The sequence below is a fragment of the Homo sapiens genome, chromosome 2 (assembly GCF_000001405.40).
Source record: "Homo sapiens chromosome 2, GRCh38.p14 Primary Assembly".
NCBI lineage: Eukaryota > Metazoa > Chordata > Mammalia > Primates > Hominidae > Homo > Homo sapiens.
In genome coordinates, this window is record NC_000002.12 from 29495777 (window position 1) to 29523620 (window position 27844).

Consider the following 27844-nt stretch of genomic DNA (forward strand, 5'->3'; position numbering starts at 1 on the left):
TCTGTTTTCTTGTGTTTCGTCTTTTCTTCTTGGTCCCTGGAAGATGCTGTCAGGAGGTTTCAGTGTAATTAATTATGCTGGCACATCCAATGAATGGAGCTATGATTTAGCAAGTCTACTTGAGATGCTGATAAATTAAACAATGAAATGCACATTTCAGTTTCAGTTAAGAGAATCCTAACCTAGTTGAGGAAAAGAGCACAACCTCACATTTCCTTTCTAAAAGAGGAACGTTTTACAGAACTCCTATGTTGAGATCCCCCTCCCTTTGCGGCCGCCTTTTTCCCATGTCAGTTCTCTGCTCAGGAATAGACTATAGCCATGTAGGGATCAAATGAAATAACTTATCTGAGGTATTTTTAAACACTGTAATGTTCTTTATAAAATGCAAAAGATTATAGCTATTCAATCTATAAATATCTGAATGTAGGATAGCATATGCTTATAAACAGCTTTTTTGCTCATTGTTTATTACATCAGATCCAAGCTTATTTGTCAAAATGTTAAGGTCTTATAAAAATGTACTGCCTTTCCTCCACAACTCACTCACTTTTTCATCAGGCAGTGTGGGCTCGTGGAACTAATACAGACAAACTAGATTCACACTTGGTTCAGGGTCACTGCATATGGCAGTGCAGGCTGTGTCCTGCACAGGATGCCACATCTAAGGTATTTGCATCATCACTGCTATAGATCTTTATGTTTTTTAATGACAGTTTTCCAGAGGATAGTAGTAGAGTGGCTGGCTTTGTTAAACTTAGTATATTATGACAATTTTACAATAAATAAAAAAAAATGCCTTGAGGAAGAGATAACTTTTTCTAATATGACCTTCTCCTAGCTTCATAATAAAGCAATCATATATAAGTTTATGAAAATCACTTACTTCAGGTTGTATAATCTAATCAAGGGAAATCTCTTAGAATAGAGATGACAAATATTTGCCATGTACACCACCACACTTTGCCCATGGAAGACCCCAGTAGCCACCATGGCTCCCTTCCTCAAGTCTGGATGCAACTTACACCATGTGCCAAGCAACCATTGCCAACCAAATGGGGCTGGCATACTGGCTGATATCCATTTGCTGTCACTGCTCAAAAAGGTTGTTGTAAGGATTTCAGGATAGTGAATCCACAGCACCTGGAACAATGACCACAATCATCATCACATTCCGGGCACTATAGATTCACCATCTTAAAATCCTGATGAGGCCAGGCATGGTGGCTCACGCCTGTAATCCCAGCACTTTGGGTGGCTGAGGCGGGTTTATCACCTGAGGTGAGGAGTTCGAGACCAGCCTAGTCAACATGGTGAAACCCCGTCTCTACTAAAAAATATGAAAATTATCCAGGCATGGTGGTGGGCGCCTGTAATCTCAGCTACTAGGGAGGATGAGGCAGGAGAATCGCTTGAACCTGGGAGACGGAGGTTGCAGTGAGCCGAAATAGTGCCACTGCACTCCTGCCTGGGCAACAAGAGTGAAACTCCATCTCAAAAAAGAAAAAAAAAAATCTGATGATTGTGGTCATCACAGGCTCTGCCACCAGAGCCCTGTGAATGTTCTCCAGGTCTGCGTACCACTCCCTTGGTTGGCAATACCTGGCTCCCTCCCTACCACCGGCCTATGCTCAGCCTCAATTCATTGCTCAAATAGAAACAGAACCTTGGTCTAGGTCAGCATGGTGCTTGCTACTGAGTGCACCAGGGCTCCCAGCAGCACACACATCCCCACTGACCTCAGCTCACTCTCTTTCCTCCTCTCCTCTCTAAACTCCACACAGACCCATGCTCTGTTGCTGCTAATCAGCACTCAATGGTAATTTGTAAATGTCTGCAAAACTCATTATAATTCTTTTGTGTGTCCAGGCGCTGCATTCCTATCAAGAGGGCAAATCCCTTGAAGACAGAATCTTTTTCTTCCTTTTAGGTTCAATATTCTGCTCACATGGGAACTCAACAAATCATATTGTTTCGGTCATGTAGGGTGCCTTGAAAAATAAGGCATGATCATTTGTTATAACTAGTCCCTGGTCACCTTCTTCATATGAGGCTAAGAAAATGAATATAGTCATGAAATGATTATTGCTCTCCTGGTCCAAAAAGTAAATTTAAATTCTTTTCTTTCTTAAGTCCAAAAGATACAAAACTAATTGAGAACTCCTGATATTGTTATAATACTATTACTTATAATAAGTAATAATAGTAGAAGTCAAAATACAATTTCTAATGCCATTACTACTAACTTCATTAGGATTCATTTCTTCCTCTCCCCCACTCTCATTTGGCCAAATGCATTTCAGTAAGTGCACATGGGAGCTGAGAGGATGATAAAGAATTATGAGTCTCAGTATTTATTCTATGCTCTCCCAATATTGCAGCTCTATTCCTTCCAGATGAGATGGCATTTTGACTGTGGGTGATATGATTAATGCCCAAATATGACCTAAAAAATTGAAAGGGAGGCACAGTGACTGGGTTTGGGGGAGGAGGTTGGGAGATATCCTTCATTATTTGTCAGGCTACTTAGGCAAGGAAATACACTTATTGATGATAAATATGCAAAAATGAAACAATAAAATTTTGAACTGTGATTTTTTTTTTCAAAATCTAAAGCCTGTAGGGTCTTGGTATGTGGGTGGAGGGCCTATGAGATATAGAGGAAATTACTGATGCTTTCTCTGTGTCGACCTCATCCGTAAAATGGGAGTAATGGAGCCACCATCAGTGCCATGTCTATTGTCTTGAGGGTTGAAATCAGGGTCTTGGGTGCAGTTGTACAGGTTGGGCCTGCTCTGGAACATTCTGCTGAGGGGAGCAGAGGGGCCCCAATGGAGCGGGGCTCCACTTGCCAAGCCATGGCCTTTTGCTTATGCATCTTTGCTCATTTGCTCATTTGTCTGCCAAGAGCAGAGGGGCTTTTTCTAATTTACAGGAAGAAGCTGTTTGTGCTCACAGCCGCCCTGATTGAGATAAGTATGTAATGACATTATTATTCAACCAAGGGCTTTCACTTTTTCCTAATGAGTGTCTATTCATCGCACTAGTGAGGAGAGTGTGGAGTTGGATCATCACTATAATTGAGCACAGTCAGAGACGGTGGCATGAAAAAGCCAAGGACGCAGATTCACAGGAGTATAGCATTTGGAAGCTAGAAGATCACCTACTCCAAACACTCCCATTTTGCAGAAAAGGAGTCCAAGACTCAGAGTAAACTTCTCCTCCCCATCAAAAAGAAAAGGCTTGTTAGTTAAGTTCATGAAGCTGGCTGGTGGTAGTTGGAATGAGACCTGTGGTGGCCTGCCTGGCAGTCCTACAAATTAGAAGGCAGGAGTTCTCCATTCCCAAGATATACGTTCCTCACCCCGGTTTTGTGGCATTTGAGAATCCAACATCTGAGTATTTCTTGAGGGTCCTTCTCCAGGGTCTCCTTTTTTTTTGAGACAGGGTCTTGCTGTTACCCAGGCTGGAGTTCAATGGTGTGGTCTCGGCTCACTGTAACCTCTGCCTCTCAGGTTCAAGTGATTCTCCTGCCTCAGCCTCCCAAGTAGCTGGAATTACAGGTGTGCACCACCATGCCCAGTTAATTTTTTGTATTTTTAGTAAACAAGGTTTCATCACTTTGGTCAGGTTGGTTTTGAACCCCTGGCCTCAAGTGATCCACCTGCCTTGGCCTCCCAAAGTGTTGGGATTACAGGTATGAGCCACTGCACCCGGCTCCTAGGGTCTTCTACGTTCAGGTTGAGGGCTGACTAGTTTTACAAATACTCGAAGTTCAGATACTTTTCTCCCACACATCTCCCTGGTTCCACTCTCTAGACCCTCTCGCCTCCCTCCAGCCAACCTCTTTATCAGATTGTTCATCATTATTGCTCAGGCTGAAAATCCAAACCCCAGCTCTCCTCTTCCAACCCTCATTTCTCCCCGGGTGGACTCATTTTCACCACCGTGAACCACCTTGCATGGAGTTCCCTCTGCTGCCAGCCCATGTCTTCCTGACTGATTGAGTCTTGCGGTGCCTCCAGGTGTCTTCCTAGCCATAGATCTGACTCCAGCTTCAGCAGGCCCTTTCTCTTGTCACCCTTGCCAGCCAAGTATACCTTCCCCTCTCCTTCCCCTGTTCTTCCCTCCCCAGTGGTTGCTTTTCTTATTCATGGAACACTTGTCCCCATCTCATCACCCAGTCACCAACACTGGGGACATTGTGACACCCCCATACACTTGGGTCTCGCTGTTCCTTAAGGTTGGATGGTGCCCACTCCTCCTCAACACGGCTCCTCAACATGGCTCCTTCCCCACAGTGGCTCCTTGGCCATGATTTCCGATCCCAGAGTTCCTTGATGGCTGATATGGTTTGGATCTGTGTCCCCCACCCAAATCTCATGTGGAATTGTAATACCCAGTGTTGGAGGTGGGACCTGGTGGGAGGCAACTGGATCATGGGGGTGGAATCCTCATGAAAGGTTTCGCACCATCCCCTCGGTACTGTTCTTGTGATAGTGAGTGAGTGAGTTATCACAAAGTTTGGTTGTTTAAAAGTGTGTGGCACGTCCCTGCTACCGCTCTTGCTCTTGCTCCACCGTGTAAGATGCCTGCTCCCCCTCTGTCTTCAGCCATGATTCTAAGTTTCCTCAGGCCTCCTGAGAAGCCAAGTGGAAGCTACTATACTTCCTGTGCAGCCTGCAGAACCATGACCTAATTAAACCTCTTTCCTTTATAAATTACCTAATCTCAGAACTAATACAATGGCCACCTATTCTTTTTCTTCTACCTGGTCTAGCCTCTTCTTTTTTTTTCTGGAACCATCCCTTTATCCTCATCATGTGCTCTAGTCCCTGACTTCACCTCCTCCCTGCTCCCTGCTTTCCTTGTCATCCAGGAACTTCATGGACATCAGCGCCATCCATGGTCTTGCCTACCCTAGAGAAGCATGTTCCTCTGGCCTGTGCTGACCCTGTCTCATCCATCCCCAGCTGGTTAAATCTTCCCTTCGCTCTTCTCCTTCAGGCTACCAGGAGCCCAATGCTGCCATTTCTCCAGGCTTTCTGGGATCCTTGCATACACAGGGGCTCTGGTCTCAGCTGGATCTAATGCTTTGCTCATCTCTGATTTGCTCCCTACCACATTGACACAACCCCAGTCCCCAACTCCCCACCTCCTTTCTGGCATATTCTTGTCTTCCCACTATCAGCACTTGGTCTTGCTTCCTGCATTGCTGAGAAGGGAGACTGGGCTGTCCCCCAGGAGCCCTTAAATACCCTCTTCTTCCCCTTGCTTTTTCCTGACACCTCTCTTCTCTCATCTTCTTATACTGACCTCTGATGCATGGGGAGAAGAACTCCCCCAGCTCATCCTTCCAAGCCCTTCTGGATCCTTCTAGAACATCTCTTCAGTCCCTCTGTCCCTTGCTAAGTCTTCCTTCTGTCCTCTCCACTGATTCTTTCAAGTCCCCACCATCATTCCCCTTCCTTCACTACTGAATGTCAATGTCTTATTCCTCATTTACTTGGCATTCATCCTGTGAGCCTCACTTCCATGCCGACAATTCTCTGGAGATGCTCTACCAGAGGTCATCTGTTACCTCTTACTTGTCAAAGCCAAAGGCCTTTGCACACTGCTGAAATCCTTGAAAGAACTGTCCTTGAAACTCTCCGACGCTTCATTTCCATGTCCTTACTGGTTTGCTGCTCCTGCAAATTCTCACCACTCTTCCCGTGGCCTCCTTTCTTTGGAGGATGCCCAGGGGGTGTCCTTAGCACTGCTTCATGTCCTCTTCTTCCTCCTTCCGGGGGAAAGTACAGGTTCCCCTCAATAGCCTCATCTCTGTGGAAAGCTCCATTTCATCCCTTGCCTCAAGCTCTCTCTGGATTTCTTGCTAGCCCTTTTGAAAACATTTTTTTTTATTGTGGTAAAATATCCATAACATAAAATATACCAGCTCAACCATTTAAAGTATACAGTTTAGTGGCATGAAGTTCATTTGCACTGTGGTGCAATGATCACTGCCATCCATCTCTAGAACATTTCTCGTTTTGCAAAATTGAAACTTCGTACCAGTTAAGCAGTCACTCCCCATTCCCTCCTACTCCCAGCCCTGGGTAGCTACCATTCTACTTTCTGTCCATATGGTGCCTCACATGAGTGGAATTGTATAGTATTTGTCTTTATGTGTCTGGTTAGCATAATGTCTTCAAGGTTCACACACATTGTAGCAGGTGTCAGAATTTCCTTCCTTTCCAAGGTTGAATAATATTCCATTGTACCACATTTTGTTTATCCATTTATCTCTTGATGGACACTTACCATTTAACAAATTTTTAATGAGCTCCTCTTTGCCAGGTCCTGTAATAGGCACAGGTACACGCTGGAGAATAAAACAGGCATCATCCCTGCTCTTGCGAAGCATATAGTCCATGCAGCACCCTTAGTAACGAATTTGAGTCACAACTTCTCTAATGCGAGTCCCTTGAGGGTACAGACCATTGCTGGCTTCTTTGGTGGTCCCCAAACCCCTAACAGAGCTTTGTACAGAGTTAATGCATAGTTAAGATTTGCTGAATGAATGGATGAATGAATGAACCCAATAAGCACTTGTAAAAGATCAGTTTTGTAAATGCATAACTTCTCTTGAAATCCTTCTCTTGAAGTTTCATCCCCAGAGAGTGTTTGCAGTAGAAGTGACTTCCAAACAGAGCATGGATCACTCAACGTTTTATTACTCAGAGGTTCTTGTTACTTCATAAATCTTGAGCTCCCCCAATGTAAATTGCCATCAAACAAGCAGAACAATGACTCAGGCATTCTTTTTATCAAGGGCTTGGTATTAAGACAGATTAACTTGGAGGAACAGCACCGGCCTGGGTATCTGCCCCATCCCTCATTCTTATTGTGATTAATGAGATGGGGCACATATTTTTTTTTTACTCCGCCTGAAAGCATATTGAGTTTATGCCTCATCCTACAATGTTAAATATTGGCTTAGAATTACATTATCTCTTTACACAGATGGATGGGCTGGGTGCTGTGTGTACTGCTGACAGTTTTCTTGAAGTGGAACCAGGATTGGTGAGGGAATCATTCAGCCGTGATTACAGCTGGAATGCATGCAGAGACCTCCAGTAAAACTAGAGTAAACAGGTATGCAGTGAATCCAAAAGCAAAAGATTAATGCAAAGATGCTGCAGACCAAGAACTAAGACAGTTCAGGGTAGATTGTCTTTATGCAGGGTGGGCAACTAACTAGTAATCATATGCCAGTATGAAGACGTGGAACTCTTCAAGGGATGATGTCTTCGCAGTTGTAACTCAAGTGCCTCAGCACTGAGTAAGGACTTAATAGATATTGTTTAAATGAATGAATTTATAGTTTTCAAACTATTTTGGTATTTACTATTTTATTTTCATCTTAAACTGACTTATGAGATAGATAGGTAACAAATTATGATTCCCATTTTACAGTTGAAGAAACTGAGACACAAGTGGTATTACGGGTCACTCAGGTTACCAGGGAGCTGGGATTAGGGATCTGGTCTATTGGATTTATATCCAGGGACTGCTCTTCCACTTAATTCATTCATCATTTCAACAAATGTTTGTTGAACAACTAATATGCTCCAGGTTCTGTATTTGATTATGAGTGAAGGTTGGTGGAGATGGAAAAGCCGTGATATCTTTCATCAGGGAAATTAGATCTCACAGAGGATACAGATATGAAAAAGCATCATTACAACCAAGTTTCCAAGAGAAAGAACAATGCATGGGCACCGTACCATGGCACATAGAGATCTGGGCAAATGACTTTGCTTGGGGAACCTGGAAATGCTTTAGAGAGGAGGTAACATTTCCATCAGTGGAGTTTTCTGGCTTAAGAATCCCAGCCCAGGGGCATGAGTGAAGGCAGAGACCTAAAACAGCTGCATCTTCAGGAATCCCAGGCAACATGGCTGGGATGTGGGCATGGGGTGAGGCGTGGCAGAAGGAACACTGGAGAAGCAGCAGGGGCTGGATTTATTTGGCATTAAATTAACAAAATTTATCGAGCTTCTACTAAGTGCTATGAATGGTGTTTAGTGCTGTGTTACTGTGGATATAATGAGATCCATAAAGTTCTTGCCCTCATGGAGCTTTCTTTCTATAGGTTGGTGCAAAAGTAATTGTGGTTTTTACCATTACTTTCAGTGGCAAAAACTGCAATTACTTTTGCACCAACCTAATAGTGAGGTGATTTGGACAATAAACAAGGAACCAAATATATTAATTAATTACCAGTTGTTGGTGGTGCTAAAAGGAGCTAAACACAACACTGAGACAGAGGAAAACACAGATCACAGTGGGAATTCCTGAGGTGGTGGTTTTCCAGCTGAGCTCCAAAGGATGAGTGGGAGGTGACAGTATAGAGCCAAGGGAAGGTGTTGCATGCTAGGGAGCAGTGAGTACAAAGGGCCAGTGGCCAGGAGAAACAGATGGGCAGCCAGTGTGGGGACGCTGTGTGAGAGAAGGTCAGAGAGGTGGGCAGAGCCAGGTCACACAGGGCTTTAGGCTGAGATTTTTTTCTGAGACCAATGGGAAGCCATGCAAAGGTTTTATAGTGAGGTGGCCTGCTGGCATAACTTGATCTACATTTTTGATGTTTATTATGCTGGCTGCTGTGCAGAGAAAGAAGGGAGCAAAAGTGGAGCTAGAAAGGCCAGTCAGGAGGTACTGCTGTATCAGTTGACCAGGTGAGAGATTATGGTGGCTTGGGCTAGGATGGTAGGAGGGAGGGGCAAGTGGGTAAGTGTATATTTTGGAGATGGAATTGACAGGGTTTGCTCTCATGGGGGATATGGGGTGAAGAGTGAAGAGGAGATGAGGAAGAATCGCAGCCTTGGGTAATGCTTGAACAAGGAGAGAGGCAGTGAAGGGTGGAGTAAAATGGAGAAATGAGAGAGACCTCGAGGCTCATCAGCAAGGCTGGACTTGATCCCATAGCAGATAGGGAGCCAGTGACTGATGCTAAGCAGAAGAATAACACAGTCAAGCTGGCATTTTATTAGGTTGGTCCAAATGTTATTGCGGTTTTTGCCATTACTTCCAACGGGAAAAACCACAATTACCTTTGCACCATCCTAATAGAAGGCCACTTTGACGGCTGGGTAGAGAGGGGGAGGCAAGGAGCCTGGAGGCATGGGGTGAGTCCAGGGTGACTGTGACAGTGAGCAAGCAAGGATGAGGGCTGGAGGTGGGGCAGAGACCCCAGACTACTTGTGGCCTGTGGTCACTCCAAGGTCCAGTGTGGTTAGGATTGTGAAGGAAAATGCAGTTATTATCTGGGAGGCATTAGTAATTGGACCAGGGTGAGGGAGGCAAGATGGGCTGAGAGTAAATTGATAGCCTTTGGGCTCTCAGTGGAGCAGCCAGCCTGCTCTGGGTTCTCAGGTGAGAAGGCTGTGAATTCTCTACTGGGTGGGACACCCTGATGGGTTGCCTGGGAGCCACACAGCCCCCAGCATGCCTCTGGGGGAGGGGAAGGGGGTCCAGGGACCTGCTGCTGTGTAGACTGTTGGGTCATCAATGGTGCCTGAGTGAATGTGCTATCTCAAGATGATTGAACTATCTTTGGGGGCGGTGAGCTTCCTGTTACAAGAGAAGTTCAAGTGGACTGATAAGTACTTGGCAGGGGCTTCAAATGCCAGGTGGAAGTCGTACTAGATGTCCTGAATATCTCCTTCTGCCAGCACTCCTGGTTCCATCAGGTTCTGGGGAGCTTAGGGGGAGTTCTACGTTAGGCCAGGCACTCCTGAGATGACTGAAACCTTGTTGTGGGTGGAAGAGGTTGAAAGGACCCTGAAACTGGGCTCCTGGTTGTCCCAGGCCCTGTTTACAGTGGCTGTAGGCTTCAGGCACTTGCTTCATACCAATAAATGGGTGCAGGGCAGCCCAGGGCAGCCACATCAGATAATTCATGGAATGGCAGAGAAATCACCATTCTAAAAGGCCAACACCAGCACCATTCAGCTCTTTCCATAATCTAAGGCAGCTACACTAATTGAAAAAAAAAAAAAAAGTCAGTTTGGTTTGGTTCAGCAGTCAGCAACATCCATTCATGGGGTGAATGAATATAGAAGAAAACTCAGGCCTGACATAATGTAAGTGGCTGCATATATTGTAATAAAACCCACATGGACTCGTGCAGCAATCCCCCGAAATAATGAGTTCAGGTTTGCTACAGATTTGCGGCTAGCTCTTCCAGAGCCAGTTTTTTTCTGAGAGGCATCTCACCTCACCCGATGATCTTTAGGGCCAGTGATCCCCTAGGTAACTGTGGCCAGGAAGGAACGGCTGACTAGGTGGGTACAGAGGCTCTACGTAAGTCTCTGCGAGAGATAGTTTTCTGGTGGCAAGAGGACTTGATTTCCTTTGCCCTTGTACAGAGTTCTCAGATCAGGGATCAAACTTTGGGCATTTAATCCCTTTTTCCAATTCTGCATGGTTCTTGCTTTTCTTTATATTATTCTATCAAACAAGCTACAACAAATACCAATTGCTTTTTACTGCTAGATCAAGCCAAGGAGCATAGAATATGATCTCTAGTGGGGTAATAGAAGGCGATTAGAGAATGAGACACTCATGATCAGGTATAAACAGGGTGAGCTCATCAGGGGATAATGCTTTGCACTTTTTAGAAAATATGAGACTTAGCTTTAGAAGTTGAGCAGGATTGGCTCATGTCTGTAATCCCAGCACTTTGGGAGGCCGAGGCGGGTGGATCATGAGGTCGGGAGATTGAGACCATCCTGGCCAACACGGTGAAACCCCATCTTTACTAAAAATACAAAAAATTAGCCAGGCCTGGTGGTGGGTGCCTGTAGTCCCAGCTCCTCAGGAGGCTGAGGCAGGAGAATGGTGTGAACCCAGGAGGCAGAGCTTGCGGTGAGCCGAGATTGTGCCACTGCCCTCCAGCCTGGGTGACGGAGCAAGACTCCGTCTCAAAAACAAAACAAAAAAAAAAAGTTAAGCAGGATTTGGATGGGGTAAAGAAGACCGAAACAGTGTTTTGGGTGGGACACTGGGGAATGACCCAGCTTGTAACTGACAAAGACACTTAAAGGAAGAGGTGAAAATATCAGTGAGGATGTAGAGACATTGGAATCCTTGTGCACTGCTGGTAGGAATGTAAAATGATGCAGCCACTATGGAAACATCATGGTAACTCCTTAGAAAATTAAAAGCCAAATTACCGTAGGATCCAGCAATTCCACTTCTAGGTATATATCCAAGAAAAGGGAAAGCAGGGTCTTGAAGAGGTATTTGCACAACCATGATTATAGCAGCATTATTCACAATAGTCAAATGTTGAAAGCAACTCAAGTCTCCATTGACAGATGAATGAATAAACCAAATGTGGTATATACATACAATGGAATATTATTCAGCATTAAAAAAGGAAGAAAACTCTGACACACGTTACAATATGAATGAACCTTGAGCACATTATGCTAAGTGAAATGTCAATCACAAAACGACAAATACCATCGAATTCTACATTTTTGAGGTACCTAGAGTAGTCAAATTCATATAGACAGAAAGTATAGTGGTGGTTGCCTGGGGTTGGAGGTAGGGGGAAGTGGGGAACTATTGTTTATTGGGTACACAGTTTCAGTTTGGGATGATGAAAAGGTTCTAGAGATAGATGGTGGTGATAGTTGCAAAGCAATGTGAATGTACTTTAACACTATTGAACTGTACATTTAAAGATGATTAAGATGGTAAATTTTATGTGCATTTTACCACTGTTAAATAATTAAAAATGGAAAAAACTAAGAGGCAGAAATGACTTCCAGGCCAGGCCCAAATCAGGAGGAGCAGGGTTTGACTAAAATTAACATTTCTATGGCCTCTGTGCTCAGGATAGCACCTGGGGTTTAGGAGGGATTAGGATGCAATAATGAGTTGAACACAAACAAATCTAGAGAAGCAAGAACTTCCTAGAATAGGAGCAGGAAAGGCAGGACAAGCTGACTGAGTCCTGACTTAAGATGGCCCTCATGGTACAGAGAGGGGCCATGATGTCAATGAGTTGATGTATCTGAAGGCCTGTTCACCAAACCACCTACTGATCATAATCAGTTATCTTGGCCCCCAGCGTGGCTCTGCCGGCAGTCAGAGAATGCACTGATTGGTCAAGGAGTGAATTCACACCAATCACTGTATGTTTTATTGGACATTTCAAAATCCTATTCATGACTTACATGTCTTGCGTGAGTGTGGTTAGCCTGAGTCCTGAGCATGTTTGGCCCCACCAAACTGAGGGTCTGATCTAGAACTTGGGGAGTGCACTGAGAAACTGCCACCCTACAGGGTCTGGCTGGCTTTCTTGAGAGGCTTTTCCACCGTCACTGATCTGATGTTCAAGGCAAGCAGAAAGTACACGTGGACCCTCTGAAACTGTTCTGGCCTCTAGCTTCAGTTAACATCTGCATGTGGACACCCAACGCATTTCCTTTCTGACTCCTGCTACTGAAAGTGGTCTGTTCAGAGCAGTATAGGCGTCAGCTTGTTAGAAATGCAGAAAATGTGGCACATATACACCATGGAATACTATGCAGCCATAAAAAATGATGAGTTCATGTCCTTTGTAGGGACATGGATGAAGCTGGAAACCATCATTCTCAGCAAACTATCGCAGGGACAAAAAACCAAACACCGCGTGTTCTCACTCATAGGTGGGAATTGAACAATGAGAACACATGGACACCAGAAGGGGAACATCACACACTGGTGCCTGTCATGGGGTGTGGGGAGCGGGAAGGGATAGCATTAGGAGATATACCTAATGTTAAATGATGAGTTAATGGGTGCAGCACACCAACATGGCACATGTATACATACGTAACTAACCTGCATGTTGTGCACATGTACCCTAAAACTTAGAGTATAATAAAAAAAAAACCCAAAAAAATCCCATATCTGCAACTCAAAAAAAAAAAAAAAAAAAAAAAAAGAAATCCAGACTTCCAGCCCATCCCTGACCTATTGAATCAGAACATGCATTTTACTAGATCCCCAGGTGATTCACAGGCACAACAAATGCTGAGAAGTTCTGCTTAAGCCATCTAATTCAGCGTCTCCCAAGCGTGCCCAGTCATGGAGATCATCAAGGTGTGCATTATTAAAAAGATGCCCAGGCTCCTTTCTTGGTGATTCTAATTCAGTGTGTATTTTTATTTTAATAGAAAGGGAAAAAGAAATGGATGTGAGTAGCGTGTGCAGGTATGCCCATCTGTGGACGGAGGGGAACAGTGATACATAAGCCCTGCTATGAGAAGACCAGGTGCCCATGGTCATGTGTGGAGGCTTTTCTGTCATGGAAACTTCTAGAGGGAAAAGAGAGTCAATTTTGTAAATGTTTATAAGCAACTTGTAGTAAATTTGGGGACACTCAACATTTAAATAACAATTCTAGCTTTGACCTTTTTCAGCATTATTGATTTCGGCTTCATCTCTCACAGAAGCATCCTCAACACATCCCTGGTTTCCCCTGATAGATTAAAAGAAGCTTATTTTTCAAAAATGTAGCTGAGATAGAAAGGCTTAAGGAGAACAGGGGTTCCTTCAACCATGGAGAAGGCTGTTTTAAGAGTAAATTAGATCAGCGAAAGCTTTCTGTACTTGCTTGTACAATCCCTTTCAGTCCCTCCTTCTCTCATGCTTTTCAGTGAATATTAAGTCTGAAATCTGGAAGAAAAGAGCCTTTCTACCTTCCAGGCAACTATCTCTCTCTGAGTCCTCATGAATCCTAGGAACTTTTATACTTTTATTCATGAATGAATCCTTACCTCCTCTGCCAACTGCTTCATCAAAGAACCATGACTCACCCTAAGTTATGCAAAAATCAAAGACACATAGTTGGAATCTATATTTCTTAACATGTCTCTCTTCTTTTATTCCAATTTATTTCTAATGGAATGCCTTTTACAACAACTAAAATAACCTTTTAGATATGCAATTATAGTGCAGACTTTGGGGACACTGGAGAACCAGAAAGAATAAAGGTAGGGTTGGGGAGAAGCATTTAAAAAGAGAAAGAGAGCTAGAGAGGGGGCTTTATTTACAAGGCAATCGAAAGGTAGTTTTTAGGTTTAGCAATTGTGATCTGTTTGTGGTTCAGGTTTGGGACTTGGCACTTTGTAAGAAGAAGAATGACCACCCAGTGGCTTTAGTTACCACTCTCTAGTCCAGGATTGCCTATGGGATCATGGGTGTAAAGGAAGCTTGACACTGGGTTTGGGCCAAGGTGGCCAGTGGAGGTGGCCACAGTCCCTGACATTCTTGTGGCTTCTCTCACAGGGAAGGAGAAGAAATCCTAGAAGAAGTAAAAAGGCTGCTGGGTAAGCAGAGAGGAGGAAGCTGACTCCATTTCTTTCATCCCACCCAGGCAGTGACACAAAACCTGTGGCTCCTTTAATTCCTTCATCTGGTCTGGCAAGTATGAAATGTCCCTAGCAATTGGCATTCTTAAGTCCCCTTAAGAGTCCCTGATGGCAGGTGTTTGCTATTTTAAATCATAAAAATAATAGTTGAAGGAATTAATCAATGAATAAACCAATATTTGTTTAGCATCTTGCAATGGTGGGCCAACAAAGCATAAAACATGGCCCCAAAATAGAAGAAGCTTGTTTCTACAATGATTATGAATAGGCTCAGTTCATCTTTTTTGGGAAGTTGCTTAATTTCCTTGAGCCTTAGTTTTATTTGCTGTAAATGGAAATTAATAGTATTTACTTCATAGGCTGCTATAAGTATTTATTGTGTACAATAATTATAATATGTTTGCAGCAAAAAGAAATCAATAACTAATAGTGAAACAACAGTCTCTTTGGGGAAACCAGAAACACCTATACAAAACAATTTGCAAACAAAGAGAGTATTGGATGTTTATAGACTGAGGAAACAGAGTATGGTTGAACAACTTCCAGGTATTACCTGATCAGGTGGGACACTGGAGTTTTATTTTGTGGTCTAGACAGTTTTACAGAGTTGAGAGAGGAAGAGAACAGAGTGGGCTGATGTTTTCTGAGAAGTCTTCATGAGGAAGGTGATTCGTGAATCAGAGGCCCAGGAATACCACTCATGTTCTCTAGCTGTGTCTGCACTGTGCAAGGCAGACTGAAGGGTAGGTAAGGCTAAATAAGTGGGCTCTGATCCTTTGCCTCTCTGCTCTGCCACCATCTCTCTCACTAGCCCTTCACCCTTACACTCAATGCACTTGTCTGTACATACATGTATCACTTCCTCATCTCCTTTTCACTAATTTTACTCTCACCTCTTTTTTCTAGGTATTTTTACAAAATGTCAGCTTTATTGAGGCAAAACTTATGTGCAATAAATGGTATCCATTTAAAGTGTACAGGTTGATGAGTTTTAATAGTTGTTACACTGAGAAACCACAACTACATTCCAAATATAGAACATTTCCATCATCTCCAACCCTCTCTCTACCTTCCAAAAAGTTATCTTGTCCCTTTGCAGTCAATCCTGCCCTGCTTCCTGGGGAACCACTGCCTTGCTCTCTGTCATTAGAGATTAGTAGATTAGTTTGCATTTTCTGGAATTACATATAAATGGAAGCACAAACTATGTGGTCTTTGTGCCTGGCTTCTTTCTCTTAGCATAATAATTTTGAGATTCATCCATGTTATCATATATATCAGTATTTTATTTATTTTTATTGTTGGATAGTGTTCCATAGTATAGATAAACCACAATTTCTTTATCTATTCACCTGTTGATACACATTTGGGTGCAGTTTTAAACTACTGTGAATAATGCTGCTCTTAATTTTAATGCATAAAGTTTTGTGGGGACATACGTTTTCATCCTCTTGAGTAAATGTCCAGACAGGGAGTAGAATGGCTGGGTTGTATGGTAGGCATATGTCTAGTTTTTAAAGAAATGTTCCAATTGTTTTTCCAAAGTGATTATACCATGTTGTATTCTCACCAGTAGTATATGAAAGTTCTAGTTCCTTTATATCCTTAACAACACTTGGTATGGTTAGTCTTTCTAATTTTAGCTATTGTAATTTTACTAATGACTAGCGATGTTGAGCATCTTTTCATATGTTTCATGGCCATTTGTATATCTTCTTTAGTGTAACGTCTATTAAAATATTTTGCCCACTTAATTGGGTGGGTACAAGTTCTTTTCAGATGTAAGTATAGCTAATATTTTCTCCCACACTGTGGCTTGTATTTTGATTTTTCAAATGGAATCTTTTGAATATTTAAAAGTTTTAAATTTTGATAAATTCCTATTGATCAATATTTTGTTTTATAGTTTATGCTTTTTGTATGCTATCTAAAAAAGTTTTTTCTTACCCAAGTCTGCAATAATTTTCTCTTATGTTTTATTCCAGAAATGTTATAATAGCTTTAGATTTTGTTTAGGTCTAGACCAATATCCTTGATGAACATTGATGCAAAAATCCTCAATAAAATACTGGCAAACCGAATCCAGCAGCACATCAAAAAGCTTATCCACCATGATCAAGTGGGCTTCATCCCTGGGATGCAAGGCTGGTTCAATATACGCAAATCAATAAATGTAATCCAGCATATAAACAGAGCCAAAGACAAAAACCACATGATTATCTCAATAGATGCAGAAAAGGCCTTTGACAAAATTCAACAAGACTTCATGCTAAAAACTCTCAATAAATTAGGAATTGATGGGACGTATCTCAAAATAATAAGAGCTATCTATGACAAACCCACAGCCAATATCATACTGAATGGGCAAAAACTGGAAGCATTCCCTTTGAAAACTGGCACAAGACAGGGATGCCCTCTCTCACCACTCCTATTCAACATAGTGTTGGAAGTTCTGGCCAGGGCAATTAGGCAGGTGAAGGAAATAAAGGGTATTCAATTAGGAAAAGAGGAAGTCAAATTGTCCCTGTTTGCAGACGACATGATTGTATATCTAGAAAACCCCACTGTCTCAGCCCAAAATCTCCTTAAGCTGATAAGCAACTTCAGCAAAGTCTCAGGATACAAAATCAATGTACAAAAATCACAAGCATTCTTACACACCAACAACAGACAAACAGAGAGCCAAATCATGAGTGAACTCCCATTCACAATTGCTTCAAAGAGAATAAAAATACCTAGGAATCCACCTTACAAGGGACGTGAAGGACCTCTTCAAGGAGAACTACAAACCACTGCTCAATGAAATAAAAGAGGATGCAAACAAATGGAAGAACATTCCATGCTCATGGGTAGGAAGAATCAATATCGTGAAAATGGCCATACTGCCCAAGGTAATTTATAGATTCAATGCCGTCCCCATCAAGCTACCAATGACTTTCTTCACATAATTGGAAAAAACTACTTTAAAGTTCATACGGAACCAAAAAAGAGCCCACATCGCCAAGTCAATCCTAAGCCAAAAGAACAAAGTTGGAGGCATCACACTACCTGACTTCAACTATACTACAAGGCTACAGTAACCAAAACAGCATGGTACTGGTACCAAAACAGAGATATAGATCAATGGAACAGAACAGAGCCCTCAGAAATAATGCCGCATATCTACAACTATCTGATCTTTGACAAACCTGAGAAAAACAAGCAATGGGGAAAGGATTCCCTATTTAATAAATGGTGCTGGGAAAACTGGCTAGCCATATGTAGAAAGCTGAAACTGGATCCCTTCCTTACACCTTATACAAAAATCAATTCAAGATGGATTAAAGACTTAAACGTTAGACCTAAAACCATAAAAACCCTAGAAGAAAACCTAGGCATTACCATTCAGGACTTAGGCACGGGCAAGGACTTCATGTCTAAAACACCAAAAGCAATGGCAACAAAAGACAAAATTGACAAATGGGATCTAATTAAACTAAACAGCTTCTGCACAGCAAAAGAAACTACCATCAGAGTGAACAGGCAACCCACAAAATGGGAGAAAATTTTCACAACCTACTCATCTGACAAAGGGCTAATATCCAGAATCTACAATGAACTCAAACAAATTTACAAGAAAAAAACAAACAACCCCATCAAAAAGTGGGCAAAGGAAATGAACAGACACTTCTCAAAAGAAGACATTTATGCAGCCAAAAAACACATGAAAAAATGCTCACCATCACTGGCCATCAGAGAAATGCAAATCAAAACCACAATGAGATACCATCTCACACCAGTTAGAATGGCAATCATTAAAAAGTTAGGAAACAACAGGTGCTGGAGAGGATGTGGAGAAACAGGAACACTTTTACACTGTTGGTGAGACTGTAAACTAGTTCAACCATTGTGGAAGTCAGTGTGGCGATTCCTCAGGGATCTAGAACTAGAAATACCATTTGACCCAGCCATCCCATTACTGGGTATATATCCAAAGGACTATAAATCATGCTGCTATAAAGACACATGCACACGTATGTTTATTGTGGCACTATTCACAATAGCAAAGACTTGGAACCAACCCAAATGTCCAACAATGATAGACTGGATTAAGAAAATGTGGCACATATACACCATGGAATACTATGCAGCCATAAAAAATGATGAGTTCATGTCCTTTGTAGGGACATGGATGAAATTGGAAATCATCATTCTCAGTAAACTATCGCAAGAACAAAAAACCAAACACCGCATATTCTCACTCATAGGTGGGAATTGAACAATGAGAATTTCCTAGACCTTTTAATACACTCCCAGGGCTTGAAGACTACTCCTGCATGCCAACAACTCCTGGTTTTTGGAGTTTGGAAAGATGGTCCACATCTTTCCTCCAAACTCCAGACCCTTGTGTCCACATGCGTTTCCTCTTGGATGTTTATAAGTTTCAAAAAACTCAACATCTCAAAACTGAAGTTTGTACTTTTCTCTCCACACATGTGCCTCCGTCATTTTTGCCTGTTTTGGTGAATGGCTCTGTCTACCCAGTTGGTCAAGCTAAAAATATCTTCTCCTCTTTCCCACCTGTATCCAACCCATCACTAATCCTGCCCATTGTCTCTTGTACATATCTGCAAGTCATTCACTTTTCTCTATGCCTCACTCTGTATTCAGGACTACCCTCCCTTTCCTTGTGGTGCTGCAAAGGTCTGGGGTTCCCATACCCATCCCTACCCTACCTCCAACTGACTTGCAGTTCCATCCTTAAACTCTACATCAGCTTTCCTTGGCTTTGAAGATAAGGATTATGATCCTAAATATTCCTGATCAGTCCTCTGCCTGTCCTTTCCCCTGGCCTTCTCTCCAGCCAGTCTCCTCTTTTCTTTCAGACTCAGATGCATGTTTTCCCTGATTTCCTAAAAAATATCCTACCTCTTTCCCTTCAGGTCCTTCATATGCTGTTCCCACTCCCAGAAAGGGTCTTGCTACTTGTCACTTCTACTCATCTTTCACACTTGAGTTCAAATGCCACCTCCTGGGGGAAGGCTCCCCTGAGCCCCTGGCCTAGCTCAGGTCCCTACTTGCAAGAGCTCCTGCAAGCCTGTACCCCTCTGTCATGTATCACTGTGGCAATGACATAATTATACATATAATTGTAATGTAGTATATATTTCACTCTCTAGCATGTGAGCTTCCTGAGGATAGTGACTGTTTCTGCTTGTCCCCTGTTCTATTTTCACCATCTAGCTAATTTCCCTGCACATAATAGAGGAATTCGTATTGAAATAAGTATTTAATGACTGAATGGATGAATGAGTGAATGAAGGCAAAGAGATGGGTAATCCTGGATAGGATGAAGGGTAGGGGTGATCCATGGGGTAAGACCTCACCAAGATGGTAGGGGTGGGGATAGGGGGAGGCATAATGGGATCATGTGGTTGTGGGAAACACTTTTGTAGATGTCCTTTTTGAATTGGAAATCAATAAACAATTTTCTTTCCCCAATCATGTAGCAGACTATCAATTATAGCAAAACTGGTGGGACTTAACATTACTCTCATCAAAATCAACCTGTAACCAACTTTAGAAGCATACGGTAAAATAGTTTCAGCACGGAAGATGCAGATGTAACTAAATTCTTATCACACTAGCTTCCTGTTTAGAAACAATTAAGTATAGGCATCAAAAGGCACAGGCAAGAGGGGAAAGTTCAATTAGAGGAAGATGTTTTCATAAGCCAATTAGAAAACAGGGAGATATTTTCACCCTTCCTCTGGAGATTTTGGAAATCCTATTTACACAGCTGTGAAAGGCCAGCTCAAGCTTGGCCGAGTGGGCTAAGGTGAGTTCTGGGTCCAGTGACCTGGGTGAGGGCTCTGACAGTGACAGTGCTGGAGTCGGGTCTGTGTTCAGAGTGAGCTCCTGCAGGGCAGCAGAATGCATGCAGACTCAGTCACCCTCATCTTGCCTCAGTTTACCTAAGAATACATTATGTACATGTCTCTCCTCTTAGTGGTTCATTACCCAATTTTACCTATGAATAGAATGAAACAACTCCTCTGCTAAGTGCACTGTTGGGGTTTGGTGGGAGTATAGATCAGACACTGCCTTTAGTCCCCCACACCTGTCCTGAAACAGGGCACAGCATGAAACATCTCTCCAGCTTGCAATGGTTCTGCTCTCAGTTTTCCCATACAGATACCATATGTGGTGAGGCTTTGCCTAGGATCCTGCCTCCCAGGTCCTAGTGGTAGCTGAACGAAGGGGGTCCACTGGGTAGGTGGTGGAGATGCTGTTCCATCTGGTACATGTCGGGGAGATGGTCTCTTCTCACGGGTACTTTTCCCTGTGCATCTGGCATGTCACCTGCCAGGGCCACTGTGAAGTCCCCTGCTAAGGGGGAGGAATAGTGGGGAGCCACCTCTCTACATCTCTTCTGGAGGGGTCACATCATATAGTGCAGTGGTGTCTGTGGGATCAAATCCCAACTCTGTTCATTACTAGCTGTGTGACTGAACAAGTTCAGTCTCTTCATTTGTGAAATGGGGATAATAATATGTTACCTCACAGGCCCATTGTGAAAATTAAATGGGTAAAGATAGGTAAAGGCATTTAGAACAATGTCCAGCATATAGTAAGTGCTATAAACGTGGTAGCTGTTGTTATTTGACAGCAATGAGCTGGGTTAGCAGTGAGTATGTTAGCAGTGAGTATGTCTTGTTTTCTATCTCTGGTCAGGGATGCTACTGTTTCAGGCCTGCCTGGCACAAAATACATCAGATATCCTTATCATCATCTACTTTCACTCACACATTCGCATGACACTAATTTTGAGTTTTAATTTGGAAATACTGCCCAGTCAACAAAAATTTATTGAATACTTCTTCTGTGTCAGGCACTCTTTTGGACTTTGGGGACCCCACAATGAAAGTTCAGTGTATGTTTTGATGAAGTTGAGGCTGTAGTGGAAAAAATGGATAGAAACACACACAGCCAGTGAATTTCCATGGGACTGGGGCTGTCACATACAGAGAGGTTTAGGGGCAGCACAGAGAGAAGTGACCCTCAGGAACGGGGAGTCCAGGTTAATCTCCCCCAGAAGGTGCCATCCTTACGTTGCTGATAATCATACATCTCAGAGCTTCAAGATCTTCATTATACAACTGTCATTTTATTTCTCTTGTGTATCTAGTGGGTCATTATATCTCTGAACATATATTAAAATAGACGGAATAGATTCAAGCAGCTTTTACTGGGGCACTGTGCTAAGAGCTTTCATCCACATTAAATCATTTAACCAATCCTCTATGAGGACGTCCAGATTTCTTCAGAAACCAGGATGCCAGATAGAATAATTTTTTGATGGATGGAGTCCATTACCAGTTTAGGCCATGAGCCCAGGTGATTGAAAAAGCATTAATCAGGCTATTGTCCTGGTGTTGCCACTCTCTCCAATTTTTAAACCTCCTGCTACTAATGGAGATATTATCTGACTCTCCTGATGATAAAAGAATTATCTCATCAAATCACCACATGATTATCAGGATTGCAGCCTTGCTTTTTCACCAGTTCCAGAACATCACTTAATTTTTAAACTACAGCGTTGGCTGGTGTCCTTTGTGTTTTTGTGTATGCTTTGTTTTACCTCCAAAGACTTCTGGCCGTATGATTTGTATTTAAAGCTAGATGTCAAGTGTGTGCATGGTGTGTGACAGACAGAGAAGGAGAACCTCGCCTCCCCTTCATCTCCTCCTTCACCTGTCTTTACTTCACTCTGAGACCACCAAGTCAAACTCCGTTTGTAAATTTACTTCCCAAATCTGAGCTCTTAGAAGTTCTCACCTAGTTCAAGCCCTCCCTGGAGATATGGAGAATAAAACAGGGTTGGTGGTGGGCTGTAGGGCTCCCCAGTTCCCTTCTGTGCAGTCCAATAGCAGAGAATGAGTCAGAATAGGCATGAGGCAGTCTCTCTGGCATGAACTCCAGGCCCATTTTAAATAACGCATCTAAATGTTAATGCACACTTAAGACAACAGTGCAGCTCATACTCTTCCCAAATTGATTCATTTTGCAGTGGGCCTGATGCAATTTACTCAGTATAAAAATGTCTCTGGCAATTAGGGGAACAAAGGGGCAAAGCTGGCAGGCTACAGGGATGACAAACAAAGCAAGATGATGTGAAAGCTGGGGCCAGAATTGAATTTCTTTCCGAATCAGACATTTTTGGGAATGTCAATAGCAAACAAGAAAGGCCTTCTTTGCCTGCAAGAAAAACTTGAGGATTCTCCATTCAGAAAAAAGAATCAAATAGTCTAAGAAATGGTTTTAGTGAAATGCTACAGCAGCTTTCATGGTTCCTAACGGTGTCAACTTTAGGTGGCTGGGGTTCAAACGCAGAATAAAGCTAGCGAAAGGGTGAGCCAGGCTTAAGCCACATCAGCGGGTGGAGGTTCCAGATCACTGAAGAACAAGTCCCCTGACCCCTTTGCTGGTAAGAATCCCTCTGAACAATATGGCTGTGGCAACTATGCTGTAGAAGAGACTAAAATCACTTAGCCTGGGAAAACAAGTGAAGAAGAGATATAAAAACTATCCTCAAAGGGAAGACAGACTGCCTTGTTAGGAGAAAGTAAGCTTCCTCTGTATGACTCTAGAGGACAAATAGAGGATCAACCAGATCATGGTGAAATAGGAGAAGGAACTATCATGTGTTGGGTGCTGATATGATTCTAGGTGCTTTGTATGCATTATCATAGTACTACTTCATAGGGAAACTGTAGTATTAAATGAAATCATATGTCTTTGTATTAAGAACATGGTAAATACTCTATACACATTGGCTATCGTTGTTAAAAGCATTATTTTCACAAAGAGCCTACAAGGTAAGCAGGTATTACTATTGCCATTTTGTGTATAAAACACAAGAGGTTTGGAGATATTGAATAACTTTTTAGAGACAGTCATTACCTTTCCAAAGTTACAAAGCCAAGGGGATATCAGCAAGTTCTACCTGGGAGCTAAAGCTGCTGTACAATGGGGTGATCTGTTTTGCAAGGTGGTGAGCATTCTACTGCTGGAGTCAGGCAAGTCAAAGCCAGATGGGCTTTGGAAGAGCCTCTTGCATTGTTTTGGGGTAGGGGATAAAGAATTTGAATTCAATTACTTTTAAGGTTCATTTCTGGTTCATGATTCCATGATTGAAATATTTTTCAAGTTCTGCTAGCTAGATTATGCCTTTAACCCACAAACAGTCATGTAGGATTGTGAAATTGGAGAGGCAGTCATGGGTGAAGGCCAAGAACTAAGGACCTTGGGTATATGATGAAATACAGGAGTTTTTATTTCCATCTGATTTCTGGCTTTGCCAACAACCACATTTTCTGGCTCACATCCCACACACAATGTACCTGCTGCCACCACCTCCTGGAACCCTGGAGACTGTCCGTAAGTTAGACAAGGTGGCAGAGGTTAAACAAGAAAGTTGATAGACAAGTGAGGCTTTTTAGAAATGGAAGTCATCTGGATCTACTGAGAGGATGAGCCAATGGTCACTAGGAAGCTCCCAGGGCAGGTGACCAGGCCACTGCGAGAAAGGCTGGAAGACTCCAGATAGGGAAATCACTCTGAGGCCTGCAGGTGAACATCCAGCAGACTGCCGATTAGAATTTCATGCAGTCACAGAGAAATTTTAGTCCTAAGACAGAGAAACAAAATCATGGAGGGAATATTTAGGAAACAGTTGGACAGAATGTAATTGGAATTCATCTTAGATTATCTGAAAAGATAAAACACTCAACAGAAGTCAGTGTGGTTAAGTGGTGATGTAAAGACTAGTAAACTAAGGAGAAGGAGGAATTGGGGGAAAATTACTAAGTAGAAGTCCTGACTGGAAGAACAGGAAATATGCAGGAAATAGCTCAGGAAATTAGAGGAACTAAAAGGCACACACGGACAGGGCAATCACCAAGCATGGGAACCACCTCATTTCCAAGACTAACATAGGCCAGCATTTGCTCGGCAGTGTAGGATGGTTAAGGCCACAAATGGAGATAACCCAGGCTGAAGACAGTCCTTCGATTGGAGGTTGAGTAGAAGGAAGTGAGTCGTTATGAAGAACAGAGATGGAATTTTGGTCAAGAGCATTATAGATGCATTCTTAAAACCATGTCGCAAGTTTTCAAAGAGTTTCTGGTCCAATTAATTTGGGAATTTGTTCATTTCATAAGCATTTATTGACTGTGAGACAAGTACTGTGCTAGGCATTGCAGATACAGTGATAAATAATGCCCATCCCTATTCTTGGGGTACCTGGTTGGTGAGGAAGACATGTGAAAGAACAAATGTGGCCCAGGGCTGTGAGAACACTCATAGAGATGTGGAACAGGCAGCAAATGGTGGTGCAATCAGCTCTGCTCACAGAAGGTCTGGGGTCTCAAGAAAGGCTTTGTGGAAAAGGAGCTAAGAGATTCCTTCTTGGAGGAGAAGACCTATTGTTCTTGATGGTCGGGAAGGTGAGGGAAGGCAAAATGGCTTGAACTGGCTTGCTTCACTTGGGGGCAACTGTGGGTAGTTTGATACAAACGAATCATGGGTCCAGAGAAATGGGGTGAGCCAGGCTCAGGAGGGGTGAGGCTTGATCAGTGGCTTTGAGTGCCATACTAATAAACAGCTCAGACTTGATCCTGGGTTTCACAGGGATCCCCTAAAGGATTTGAGGCTGAAGATTAACAGCCCGTGATATTCACTTGTCAGTTCTCTCATCCGGGTCTTCATTTATTCCAACATGGGGCTTCCTGATGGCCAGGAGAAGTCACTGAGATGATCATTCTAGGACTGCAAGGAACGTCCCACAGAATGAACAGCACAATGCAAAATACCAATTTGACTGTGGGTTCTCCTTCACACTCCTTTTGGTGAATTGAAAGCCTGGATCACACAGTGGGGCTAAGAAAAAAGCAGCATGGCCCACAGGTCTTTCCTTAGACTCCCATTATGTGTGCATCATTTGAGCTAAGTTGCCCTATAGGGTGGAGCAAGGTCCTGGATCCTCAGGTAACCTGGTGCCCTCAGGTGAGTGATCTGAAGAAACATCTTCAGCTTCTGGCAATGGTAGGTCTCATGCCCTGGGCTCAGCCTGCTCTCAGTGGCCTCCCCTAGGGACCCTCCCTTTTCTCACCACCACAAGACTTCCCCACTGGCAGGGGGAACACAATCAGTCATTGGAAAGGAGTGGGAACACTCATTCACTGAGCTTACTGATGTAAGATTCTCCCAGGAATAGACATTGCACCAAATCTTTGTGTAGACTTTGTGAAGCCCTTTAAATTCAAAATCCCAAGGCTGCTATGGCTCTTCACTAAGGCTCTGAACCATAAGAGAATGCATTTCTGTAAAAGCAAGGAGTTTAGCCAGGCATATGTGTGTCGTTCCCTAAATAAAACAAAGAGGAAAAGGCAAACTTAGAAACAGGCCAAGTAATGAGAAAGAAGGAGGTTTGCTTTGAGGCTGGGCATGAATGCAGAGGGGAACTGGGCTACTAAGTGGGTCATGGTGTTTCCTCACTCTTGGGCCATCAGCTCCAGTTGCCTGGACAGTTTCCTTATGGCTCAAAGAGCTGGCAATTCCATCACCCGATTCCATCTCCTCAATGCAGACTTGGTTTTTGAAGGTGAAGGCAACTGGGTTGGAATGGAGCTTCAGAAGACAGGAGAGCGGAGGCCAGCCTTTCTGGATAGGCTCTCTATGACCTTCGGCAGTGCCAGACATAAGTCTCAGGACTGCCTGCTCTCTAAAACAGGCCTCTTCTGTGCATCAAAGCCTTATAACTTTGCCATTTATTGCGGACAGGAAGGACTGTATGCACACCATAGAAAAATGCAGCTGGGATTTATAAACAATAAATAATGGTTAATAATGATAAATAAATAAGACTGCATCCTTAATTATCAGCTGGCAATAGGGTAGTTACCATCCATAGAGTGGTGATTGGGAGCAGGGACAGTGGAGCTGGATTAGCTGGGCTCAGATCCAGTCTACTCCTTACAAGCTGTGCAACTCTAGGCAGGTTACTTAACCTCACTGAGCCTCAGCTTCCCCACTGTAAAAGTAGTAGTGCTAGGGCCTCCCTCACCAAGTGGTGGTACACATAATATTAGATGAGCTGACACATGCAAAGCACTTAGAACAATGCTGAGACCAGAGAGTAAGCATCAAGTGATTCTTCCTCTTTCTCTTCCTCATTATCATACAAATTACGGGGAATGAAGGAAGGGACGTGAATTCCTATCTGGGATGCCAGGTCCTGTCCCGTCCCCAGCCAGCAGCCTCATTCTCTCCCTGTCTTTCATGTGTTGGCACTTATGAGTCAACAGGGAGAGGACCCTGGGTCCCTGTTGACTGTAGGGAGAGACAAGCTGGTAACTGAATGGTCACAAGGCTACATGGTCAATGCTATTTGAGAAACCCTAAAAGGGCTTCTCAGAGGAGGGGACATTGCATGTGTAGGGGTTTTTGTAGTGGAAAAGGGGTTAAGGGCAGTCCACAAAGAACCCCCACCCCATCTCCATGGCTACTCTTCTTGCAAAGTGGGGACTGAAGGGACAACAGGCCATTCCTGGAGTCCTGGCTCATCCACTGAAACCCACTTGTGCTGGTGTAAAAAATAGTTGTATGCACAGATTGTCCATATAGGTACTTGGAGTTTTCGTTAGGGAAGAAGATACTACCAGAGAGAAAGTGAAAGCGAGGGGAGAGCCTGCACTCAGAGGGAGGTCTTCTGGGCATTTGCAGCAGGACATTTGCTACAAGAAGAGGTAGTGGTGATTGTGGGGCTTAGGGATGAGGCTTTGCTGTCTGAGGACTGCTTTTGTGGAGAGGGATGGGCTTTCTTGCTACATAAGCCAGTGGCCACAAACACATGAAAGTGAGCACTCAGAGAGCCAGGATAAGGAACCCCGGGCAGGAGGGGGAGGAAGAAACCAAGAGAATCACGTGGCCACAGCTCATCATCTGTGTCCTCAGGCGGTCCTTTGCACACGTGCACTCTCTGTGTGGAATGTCTTCCTCTCATCATCCACCTGACACCCCTTGCCCCTGCAGAGCCAGCTCAAGTGTCCTTCTCAGGGCTAGCTTGCCTGACAGCCACAAGCATTCCCATAGCACCCAATGCACAGCACCCATTACACCCCTTTCCTTATGGCCTCATAACTGTGTCTGTCGTCCAACTCCAAACCTTGTTCTGAGCCCCTGGAAGGCTGAATGAGCTTCCAGAGTCCAACCAGTGCCTGGGACTGAGCATGACTCATAGACATTTGTTGACAGAATGCATACATGAACTATGAGTGAATTTCTTGACACCAGTGTTCTATCACTAAAATTCTTGCACCTATTTTTACCATCTCCCTCCCCACTGGGAAACAGTGAGGCTCAGTAAACACTTCTGAGATGAGAAGTGTCTG

The 27844-nt window shown here is 43.3% G+C and overlaps 1 protein-coding gene across 2 annotated transcripts in view, besides 2 other annotated features; it reads right to left on the minus strand.

Moving 5' to 3' along the window:
* The window catches only part of ALK (ALK receptor tyrosine kinase), a 728813-nt gene that overhangs the window by 303003 nt on the left and 397966 nt on the right, over positions 1-27844 (minus strand). The window lies entirely within an intron of this gene.
* Positions 10677-10872: a silencer, noted in NCBI's record as "fragment chr2:29729319-29729514 (GRCh37/hg19 assembly coordinates)". NCBI's record gives its function as "represses an EF-1alpha promoter that drives an FKBP-Casp9 reporter gene in an ReSE screen in K562 erythroleukemia cells {active_cell/tissue: K562}" and the evidence as "EXISTENCE:reporter gene assay evidence [ECO:0000049][PMID:32094911]".
* Positions 26507-26801: a silencer, noted in NCBI's record as "tiled region #9206; HepG2 Repressive non-DNase unmatched - State 22:ReprW". NCBI's record gives its function as "represses a minimal TATA promoter and a strong SV40 promoter by Sharpr-MPRA in HepG2 cells {active_cell/tissue: HepG2}" and the evidence as "EXISTENCE:reporter gene assay evidence [ECO:0000049][PMID:27701403]".